We start from the raw sequence: 11,377 nt of genomic DNA on the forward strand, positions 1-11,377 counted from the left end.
TTGTTGAGATGGGAGAGTAGAGGAAAACATGATTTGAGGAGAGATTTTTCCCCATGCATATGAAGAAAAACTTTCTCTGCTGAATTCTACCAAATTTTCAAAGAACTCACTCCGATTCTTCTCAAACTCCTCCAAAAAATTGAAAGAGAAGGAATTCTAAATTCATTTCACAAAGCAAGCATACACCAAAAAAGTGTCTGAGACAGGTCTCAATCAATTTAGAAGTTTATTTTGCCAAGGTCGAAGATGTACCTAGGAAAAAGAGACGCAGTCATGGTAGGATTTGGAGCCTACACTACTTTTTGGTAGTGTTAGAACTGATAAACAAATTCAGTAAAGTTGAGAATGTAAAATCAGCATACAAAAATTAGTAGCATTTCTATGCACCAATAACAAACTTTCTGAAAATGAAATCAAGAAAGCAATTGTATTTTAAAAGGCGACCAAAAAAAAAAAATGCCTAGGAATAAATTTAACCAAGGAGGTGAAAGACCTTTACAATGAAAACAATAAAAGACTGATGAAAAAAATTGAAGAGGACCTAAAAATGAAAAGACATTCCATGTTCATGGGTTGGAAGAATTAATATTGTTAAAATGACCACACTATTCCAAATGATCTACAGATTAAGTGCAATCTCTATCAAAATATCAATGATATTCTTTGCAGAAATAAAAACAATCCTAAAATTCATATGGAACCACAAAAGACTTGGACTAGCCAAAGCAAACCTGAGAAAAAGAACCAAGCTGGAGGCATCACACTACCTGACCTCAAAATATAGTACAAGATAGTAACCAGAAAAGCACAGTACTGGCATAAAAACAGGTACATAGACTACTGAAACAGAATAGAGAACCCAGAAATAAATACATGTATCTACAGCCAACTGATTTTCAACAAAGACATCAAGAATATACATTGGCAAAAGGACAGCCTCTTCAATAAGTGGTAATGAGAAAACTGGATATCCATATGCAGAAGAATAAAACTAGACCCCTATCTCTCACCATATACAAAAATAAACTCAAATGGATTACAGACTTAAATGCAAGACCCAAAACTATAAAACTACCAGAAGAAAACATAAGGAAAATGCTTAGGTCATTGATCTAGGCAAATATTTTATGGATGAGAACACAAAAGCACAGGCAACAACGAAAAAATAGACAAATGGGATTATATCAAACTCAAAAGCCTCTGCACAGCAAAGGAAACAATCAACAGAGTAAAGAGTCAACTTGCAGAATGGAAGAAACTATTTACAAACTACTCATTTGACAAGGGATTAACATCCAGAATAAACAAAGAACTCAAATAACTCAACAGCAAATAAAACACAACAAAAAATAACCCTGTTTTTTTTAAATGGGCAAATGATCTAAGTAGGCATTTTTCAAAAGATCTACAAATGGCCAACAAGTATAAGAAAAAAATGCTTAATATCACTAACCATCAGGGAAATGAAAATCTAAACTGCAATGAGATTTCATTTCATCCCAATCAGAATAGCTATTATCAAAAAGACAAAAAATAACAAATACTGGAGAGGATGCAGATTAAAGGGAATTCTTACACACTGTTGGTGGATATGTAAATTAGTACAGCCGCTATGGAAAACAGTATGGAGGTTCCTCAAAAAACTAAAAATTAAGCTACCATATGATCCAGCAATCCCACTACTCGATATACATCCAAAGGAAAGAAAATCAGTATGTTAAAGAGATATCTGGCTTTCTGCCTCCACTACTGCCATGGTGCCCGTGAGAAAGCTTGTGGAGAAGGTGGGCAAAAAAAAAGCAGGTTCTGAAGTTCACTCTTGATTGCACCCACCCCATAGAAGATGGAATCGTAGATGCTGCCAATTTTGAGCAGTTTTTGCAAGAAAGGATCAAAGTGAACGGAAAAGTTGGGAACCTTGGTGGAGGGGTGGTGACCATCGAGAAGAGCAAGAGCAAGATCACCGTGACATCCAAGGTACCTTTTTCCAAAAGGTATTTGAAATATCTCACTAAAAAATATTTGAAGAAGAATAATCTTCATGATTGGTTGTGCATAGTTGCTAACAGTAAAGAGAGTTACAAATTATGTTACTTCCAAATTAACCAGGATGAAGAAGAGGATTAAATTTCATTTATCTGAAATATTTTGTATGAGTTCTTGAATAAAACTTGGGAACCAAATTGGTGGTTTATCATTGTGTCTCTGCAGTGTAGATTGAACAGAGAATTGGAAATCATAGTCAAAGGGCTTCCCTTGGGCCGCCACTCGCTTATTTGTAACATGATTTTTTTTATTTTTTATTTTTTTCTGCTTGAAATTTTCAGTTCTTGTGGTAATACTAGAGTAGAAGGAGAGGGTAACTTTACGGAACTGACAGACATTGGGCAGACAGATGAGGGCGTGGAGGTATGGACTGAAGGGAGTGACTGTTTTATTTTAAAAAGTGTGACTGTCAATTGTTTCTGTTGCTTTTCCCAAAGAATGATTCAGGGATACACGTGGGCTCCTCTCATTCATTAAAAGAAAAGGTGGCCAGGTGCCGTGGCTCACACCTGTAATCCCAGCACTTTGGGAGGCTAAGGCTGGAGGATCATGAGGTCAGGAGTTTGAGACCAGCCTGGCTAACATGGTAAAAGCCCGTCTCTACTAAAAATACAAAAATTAGCCAGGCGTGGTGGCAGGTGCCTGTAATCCCAGCTATTCGGGAGGCTGAGGCAGGAGAACTACTTGAACATGGGAGGTGGATGTTGCAGTGAGTCGAGATTGCACCACTGCAGACTCCGTCGCAAAAAGAAAAAAAAAAAGTGACATCTTTCTAAGATTCTCTGTCTGCAAAAATGACAGTGTCAATTGTCAATAAAATGCAGGTTTCTGGGCCATTAATCTTACTTTGATTTTTTTATTACAAATTTCTCTTCATGCACACAATTATGTCTACTAATCCTCTTCTTCCTAGAGAGAGAAACTGTGCTCCTTCAGCATTGCTGCGTAGTCTGTCACTCTCCATAAAGGGGTTTGGGGAATCTATTGTAAAAGTCCCAGGTTCTAAATTAACTAAATGTGTACAAAAATGAATGTGTAAGTAATCTGTTTCTACACGTCTTTGCAACAATCTGTCACTTTGGTCTCCAGCAGAGGGAGCTGGAGGAATAGTGCTTCCAGATGTGGCCTCCTGTGTGGGGCCTGAAGTGGTTGGGAAGCCTCCCATGCCAAGGAGAAGGGAGGTGCCTGGGAAATAGCTGCCTCATGCGACTTAGGCCATGACTGGATTTAATGTCAGAAGTCATTCTACAGTGGTGAGGCGCAGTGTGTGCAGAGGCTAGAGAACTGTGGAAGGGGGCTACCAAGGCTGGAATAAAAAGACAGAATTGTTGCCGTGAGTGACTTTGAAAGACCCTGGTGACTTGTGGTGCCCTTCTGAAATTTGAACAATAATGCAGAAGTGTGTGTTTTAGAATTTACGGTGTATAAAATTCATGTTTTTAAAAGAACTTGCCTACAGATGGTTTCCACACCTGAAATTGTGCTCTGTGAGTTGCATAGCTGGAAATTCAATGTTCAATCCTACTTTGGCTCCAATTTAACATTTGGTGCTCTGTGGATTGAGCTGAACGTGTTGAGGCTTTGCAATTTCACTTGTCTTAAAGGCTTTAGCATTTTCCATTCCTAGCAGATTTCTTTGAAGCAGAATTGCCTGCATATTTCTTCTCTGCCTTCACAGAAGGCAGAGTTTCTTTCAAACTTCACTGAGGCATCAGTTGCTCTGTGGCAATGTCCCTTACCATGATTATTAACTGTAAGTTTGTGGCTTGAGTTTACAAATTTTACTTGTTTGTTGCATTGATGTTCCCACGTAGTAAGTAATTTTTAGTTTGGTTGTGAAAAAACCCGGAGCTGAAGTTAGCATTTAAGTTAAAAAACAAAACAAAACAAAAACAAAAAAACTAGTTCCAGATTTAAAAACTTGTAATGAAATTGAAACTCACTGGTTTTTCTCTGAACTCTTGTAGTCAGGTTTTGATCACATTTTCTATTAAAGTGACTAACACATGGCTACAAAAAAAAAAAAAGATCTGCATTCCTGTGTTTATTGCAGCACTATTCATGATGGCCAAGATATGATATCAACCTAAGTGCTCACCAACAAATTAATGGATAAATAAAATGTGGTCTATAACCACAATGAAAAATAAAAATAAAAAATAAAATTCTGTCATTTACAGCAACATGAATGAACCTAGAGGATTTTGTGTTAACTGAAATAAGCCAGGCACAGAAAGATAAATACCACATGTTCTCACTTATAAGTGGAAGAATAAAAAGTTGAGCTCATAGAAGCAAAGAGTAGAATAGTGGTTACTAAAGGCTGGGAAAGGCAGGGAGGTGGGGAGAATAGGGGGAGGTTAGCTAATGGACAAAAAATTGCAGCTGGATAGGAGGAAAAAGTTCTAATGTTCTGTAGCATTGTAGGGTGACTATAGTTAACAATAATTTATTATGTATTTTTAATAGCTAGAACAGAGGATTTTGAATGTTCCTACCACAAGGAAATTATAAATGTTTGAGGTGATTGATATGTTAATTATCCTGATTTGAGCATCACACTTTGTATACATGTATCAAAATATCATACTGTGCCCCAAAAATCTGTGAAATTATTATGTGTCAGTTAAAAACAAAAAAAGAAAAAATCCATTCACCATATATATGAGACCTTTTTCTGACTCTCGATTCTATTTCATTGGATATGTCTGTCCTTATGCCAGTGCCTTCTGTTTTAATTACTGTAGCTTTGTAGTAAGTTTTGAAATCAGAAAGTGTGAGTCTTCCAACTCTATTCTTCCTTATCAAGATTGTTTTGGCTATTCAGGGTCACTTTCAATTCTATGTAAATTTGAGGATCAGCTTCCTCATTTGTGGAAAAGAAAAGGCTGTTGGAATTTTAGAAGAGATTGTGTTGAATTTGCTGATCATTTTCAGTAGTATTGACATCTTAACAGTGGTAAGTCTTCCTATCCACAGACACAGAATGTATTTTCAATTACTTTGATCTTTTTAATTTTTTGTAGTTTTTATCTTTTATAGTTTTCAGTGTATCAATCTTTCACCTCTTCAGTTAGATTTATTTCTAAGTATTTAATTTTTTAGATGCTATTGTAAATGGAATTTCTTCTTAATTTCCTTCTAGTGTATAGAAAACAATTTGTTTTTGTGTGCTGATTTTGTACACTGCAACTTTGCTGAATTCATTCATTAGCTCTGAGTTTTCTTGTGGATTCTGTGGGGTTTTGTATACAAAGAATTATGTCATCTACACACAGAAATAGTTTCACCTATTCCTTTAGATTTGGATGACTTTTTTTTTTTGAGATGGAGTCTCACTCTGTTGCCCTGACTGGAGTGTAATGGCATGATCTTGGCTTACTGCAACCTCCACCTTCTAGGTTCAAGCAATTCTCCCACCTCAGTCTCCCAAGTAGCTGGGATTACAGGCACCCGACATCATGGGGGGCTAATTTTTGCATTTTTGTAGAGACAGGGTTTTGCCATATTGGCCAGGCTGGTCTTGAACTCCTGATCTCAGGTGATTCAGCTGCCTCAGCCTCTCAAAGTGCTGGGATTACAGGTGTGAGCCATCGCGCCCGGCCACTTTGTTTTTTGTATTTTTTGTAGAGACAGGGTGTCACTATGTTGCTGAGGCTGGGCTCAAACTCCTGCGCTCAAAGGACCTGCCCACCTCGGCCTCCCAAAGTGCTGGGATTACAGGCGTGAGCCACCACACCCGGTCTATTTGCTTTTCTTGTCTAGCTAGAACTTTCAATTCAGTGTCAAACAGCACTGGGAAACTTTTTCTTGTGCCTTGTCTTAAGGGGAACTTATTCAGTTTTTTTTACCATTGAATATAATGTTAGCTGTAAGTTTTCCAGAAACACACTCTATCATGTTGAGAAATTTTCCCTCTGTTCCTAATTTGCTGAGAGTTTTGTTTGTTTGTTTGTTTGCTTGTTTTTGTTTTTTGTTTTTTGAGATGGAGTCTCACTCTGTTGCCGAGGCTGGAGTGCAGTGGCACCATCTCAGCTCACTGCAACCTCTGCCTCCCTGGTTCAAGCAATTCTCCCTGCCTCAGCCTCCCAAGAAGCTGGGATTACAGGTGCCCACCACCATGCACGGCTAATTTTTGTATTATTTAGTAGAGACGGGGTTTCACCGTGTTGGCCAGGCTGGTCTTGAACTCCTGACTTCAGCTGATTCACCCATCTAGGCCTCCCAAAGTGCTGGCATTACTGGTGTGAGCCGCTGCACCCAGCCGAGAGTTTTTATTATGAAAGGATGTTAAAATTCCTCAAATGCTTTTTCCATGTCAATTGAGATGATAATGTGATTTTTTTTCCTTTGTTCAAATAATGTGATGTACTACATTGATTAATTTTCTTCTGTTGAAACGTCCTTGCATTCATGGTAAAATCCCATTCAATTGTGAATAATCCTTATAGTATACTGATGGAGTCAATTTGCTAATTTTTTTTTTTTTTTTTTTTTTTTTGAGCTGGATTCTCACTCTGTCACCCAGGCTGGAGTGCAGTGGCATGATCTCAGCTCACTGCAACCTCCGCCTCCTGGGTTCAAGCAATTCTCCTGCCTCAGCCTCCAAGTAGCTGGGATTACAGGCACCTACCACCATGCCAGGCTAATTTTTGTATTTTTAGTAGAGGCAGGAGTTCACCATGTTGGCCAGGCTGGTCTTGAACCCCTGACCTCAGGTGATCTGCCTGCCTCGGCCTCCCAAAGTGCTGGGATTACAGGCGTGAGCCACCATGCCCAGCCTTGCTAATATTTGTTAAGGATTTTCCATCTATATTTATAAGCAATGTTAGTCTGCAATTTTCTTTTCTTGCAATATCATCTGGCTTTAATAGCAAGGTAATGCTGGTTTCACAGAATGCATAGCAAGTGTTCCTTGCTATCCCCAAAACTTCAATTTTTTGGATTATCTGAGAAATAATTTGTGTCAATTTCTCTTTCTTTAGTAGAATTCACCTGTGAAGCCATCTGATTCAGGACTTTTCTTTTGGGGAAGTTTTTTCTTAATTATGTTTACAATCACTTTGTTATAGAACTGTTGAGATTTTCTATTTCTTCTGTCAACCTACATAATTTCTATGTTTCAATAAATTTCTTCATTTCATCTAGGTTGTCTATTTTTTCATCTATTTTTCTATTCTCTTTTAATCCATTATTTCTGTAAAATCAGTGGTAATGTCTCCATTTTTACTTTTATTATTATTTTTTGCATGTTTAGAGCTTTATCATCAGTCTATGCATAACTAAAGTTCAAGGCAAATTTAATTTTGCTTAAGGGAACATTGTAAAGTAACAATTCTTGGTATTACATGCCTCACATGATCCATTTCAAACCATAGAGAATTATACCTTTGTGTCACTGTTTCAAGAGACAAACACATTTGAACAGCTAAAACATCTTAAAAATGCACCAAGCTTATGAAGTCTCAAACAAAACTTGAATTTTCTGTACATACTCCTGTCAAATGAAGTAATTTCTTGTACACCAATTCTCTTGCCAACTAGTCTTCTTTTTATTTATTTATTTATTTTTTTATTTGACCTAGATCGGCTACGAGACCTAGAGAAGGATCTGGACGGCTTGTGATTTCCCTCCCAAGACAGAGATCTCTCTCTTCTCCTATCTCTAGAAAGGGACCTGCTCCGGCTGCGAGAGAGGCTTCTTCTTGGAGATCTACGACGAGGTGGAAGACTCCTCCTATGATAATCATCTCAAGGACGATGACCCCAAGAGGGAGGTGGGCTACGATTTCTACTTCTTTTATCACCATTCGACAGTTCCACTCTTACACAGCGGCCACATAGTGTTCTTCCATCTAGTTCTCAGACCACATCAGCTGCATCTCGGGGATCTTCAAATTCAACAAAAGCAAAGCCGCGAGGGTTTCTAGCAACCCACACACTTTGGAGTGGTCCATACTAGCCAAAAGCCCGTTCCAGTTCGGTCTTGTTGCCATTGTTTCCAAGATTGCCTACATAAACCTTACAGTCCAATGGACAGGAATCACGATGCATTTCGACATCTAGGATAAAAAATGCGGAGGCTCAAATCCATACGCTCCGATGGGTCTTCCCGCTTTCCTCCGGCCCAGTACCCAGCGATGCTCTCGCTCACCCGGCGTCCACGAAATGGCAGTCCATTTTTATTTTTATTTAAGTCATTTGCATCTTTTCTCTTTTGTTTTTTGTCAGTCTAGATAGAAGTTTGTCAATTTTGTTTCTCTTTCCCAATCAATTATTTATTGATTTTTTTCTATCGTTTATTGTCTCTACTTTTTAAAAATCTCTGCTCTAATCTTTATTACTGTCTTATTTCTGCTATCTTTGGGTTTCGTTTGCTCTTCATTTTCTAGTTCCTTACGATATAAAGTTGAGTTATTGATTTGAGATCTTTTGTAATATAGACATTTACAGCTGTCAACTTCCCTCTTAGCCCTGCTTTTTTGTTGCATCTCATAAGTTTTGATATGTTGTGTTTTTATTTTCATTTATCTCAAGATACAAATATTCTTTGTGGTTTCTTCTTTGATGCATTAGTTTTGTGAGAGTGCATTGTTTAATTTCCACGTATTTGTGAATTTTCTGGTGTTTCTTCAGTTATTGATTTCTGACTTCATACCATTGTGGTTAGAGAGGATACTTTGTGTGATATCTATACTTTTTAATCTATTAAAACATGTTTATGGTGGTCTATCCTAGAGAACATCCCGTGTGTGCTTCAGAACAATGTGCATTCTATTGTTATTGGGCTGAGTGTTCTGTATATGTCTGTTAGGGCTAGTTGGTTTATTTTGTCGTTCAAGTCCTCTAATTTCTTATCTTCTCTCTGGTTGTTTTATCCATTATTGAAAGTGGAATATTGAATTCTCAAACTATTACTCTAGGATTGCCTGTTACAATTCTGTCGTTTTTGCTTCATATATTTTTGTTATTAGGTATGTAAATATTTATACTTGCTATATTTTTTTTCTGTTTTAAACCTCTTATTAATGTCCTTCTTTGTCTCTTGTAACCTTTGTGGATTTAGAATCTATTTTATCTGATATTACTATAGCCACCTCAGCTCTCTTTTGGTTACTATTTGCATGAAATATTTTTTACCATCCTTTCACTTTCAACCTATTAGTGTCTTTTGTCCTAAAGTGAGTCTCCTGTAGATAATAATTAGATCCTGTTTTTCTGTATCCATTTTCCGCATCTCTGTCTTTCAATTAGAGAACTTAATCCATTTATACTTAAAGTATTTACTGATAAGGAGTAAATATTATTGCCATTTTGTTATTTTTTTTCTATTTGCCATTTCTTTATTGTCCCCTTTTTCTTCCATCATTGCCTGTTTTGTGTTTAGCTGACTTTTTTCAGGGAAAAATTTTTATTTTCTTCTTATTTCCTTTTGAGTATATTGTATAGATATTTTCTTTCTAGTTACCATGAGGATTATATTTAACTTATTAAAGCTACAACATTCTATTTTGAATCTACACCAACTTAACTTCAGTAGCATACAAAAACTCTGCTGCATGCATCTTTGTCTTCTGCTTTTTGTTATTGATGTCCCAAATTACATCGCTATATATTGTGTGCCCAATAAATAGGTTAATACTTGTTTTTTGCATTTGTCTTTTTAAAGTGCAGAAAATTATTAATAAAAATGGAATTATAAGTGAAAATTACAATAATACTACCTTATAATTGCCCATGTATTTATCTTTACCAGAGATCTTCATTTTTTTCATATGGCTTCGAGTTAATTCAAATATAGATGTATTTATTTAAGGCATGTTTCCTACCACCAGCACTGGGCACATGTTCAGATTGGCAATCAGATCCATAAGTCTCAATGGCTTTAATTTAGCACTGCATTTACTTAGCTGTACAGAGAATGAAGAACAGAAAATACAGTATACCCAACATCTTACAGCTCACTGGGAGGCCCAGCAGTACCCATGCACATAGTTTCTCATCCCTTCACTCACCCACATGCAGAGCGTGCACAGTGACTAGAGATGAGACGAAGAGCCAGGCGTGGTGGCTCACACCTTTAATCCCAGCTCTTTGGGAGGTCAAGGAGGGCAGATCATGAGGCCAGGAGTTTGAGACCAGCCTGGCCAACATGACGAAACCTCGTCTCTACTAAAAACCAAAAATTAGCCGGGTGCAGTAGCACGCACCTGTAGTCCCAGCTACTTAGGAGGCTGAGACAGGATAATCACTTGAAACCAGGAGGCGGAGGTTGCAGTGAACGGAGACCACACCATTGCACTTCAGCCTGGGCTACAGAGCAAGACTCCATCTCAAAAACAAAAACAAAAACAAAAACAAAAGAGGTGAAGGTGTATGTGGTTCATATTGACAGAGGGAAGTCCCCGCCTTGGTTTCCCATGAGTCTTTTATATTCTCCTTGTGATGAAGGCTCCAGGCTTGTGTGCATTCCCAGGGCAGGAACAGTTACAGACCAAGGGCTTCACAGTAAACAAAGTAGGTGACCAGTTCCCAACATACATTATTCCACATTGAACTTGATACATTTCCAAGGAAACAGTGTTGTGAGAAGGCGGCCTAGGTCTGTCCAGGATCTAGGCCCACAATTAATTAATACTTTACTCACAGCATTCAAAAGGGAAAAAAGAATAATATATACACGTATGGCCAGGCATGCTGGTTCACGCCTGTAATCCCAACACTTTGGGAGGCTGAGGCGGGTAAATCTCTTAAGCCCAGGAGTTTGAGACCAGCCTGGGCAACGTGGCAAAACCCTGTCTCTACAACAAATAAATACATAAATAAAATTAGCTGGGCATGGTGGTGTGAGCCTGTGGTCCCAGCTACTCAGGAAGCCAAGGTGGGAGGATCACCTGAGCCCTGGGAGATGGAGGCTGTGGTGAGTCATGATGGTGCCAGTGCACTCCAGCCTGGGTGACAGAGCGAGACCCTGCCCTCCCCCAAAAAAACAAAAGAAAGAAAGAAGAATACTTAAGTATCAAATCCTCCAGCTTAAGAAATGAAACAGGCCAGACATGGTGGCTCATGCCTGTAATCCCAATACTTTGGGAGGCCAAGGCTGGGGGATCACCTGAGGCCAGGAGTTCAAGACCAGCCTGGTGGCCGTGCATGGTGGTTCACGCCTGTAATCCCAACACTTTGAGAGGCCAAAGGGGGCGGATCACAAGGTCAGGAGTTCGAGATCAGCCTGGCCAATATGGTGAAACCCCACCTCTAGTAAAAATGCAAAAATTAGCCGGGCGTGGTGGCGGGCACGTGTAGTCCCATCTACTTCCGAGGCTGAGGCAGG

General features: G+C 38.5%; 2 pseudogenes, besides 2 other annotated features; one reads left to right on the forward strand and one right to left on the reverse strand.

Annotated features, from left to right (window-relative positions):
• RPL22P10 (ribosomal protein L22 pseudogene 10) lies at positions 1,734-2,326 on the forward strand (annotated as a pseudogene).
• Positions 2,327-7,602: 5,276 nt separating this feature from the next.
• SRSF3P4 (SRSF3 pseudogene 4) lies at positions 7,603-8,220 on the reverse strand (annotated as a pseudogene).
• Positions 8,223-9,835: a mobile genetic element, noted in NCBI's record as "direction; reverse".
• Positions 8,420-8,816: a non allelic homologous recombination region, noted in NCBI's record as "2q12.2 recombination sub-region, recombines with the 2q12.3 proximal recombination sub-region". NCBI's record gives the evidence for it as "EXISTENCE:nucleotide sequencing assay evidence [ECO:0000219][PMID:23657883]".

This window comes from Homo sapiens, chromosome 2, assembly GCF_000001405.40.
Source record: "Homo sapiens chromosome 2, GRCh38.p14 Primary Assembly".
NCBI lineage: Eukaryota > Metazoa > Chordata > Mammalia > Primates > Hominidae > Homo > Homo sapiens.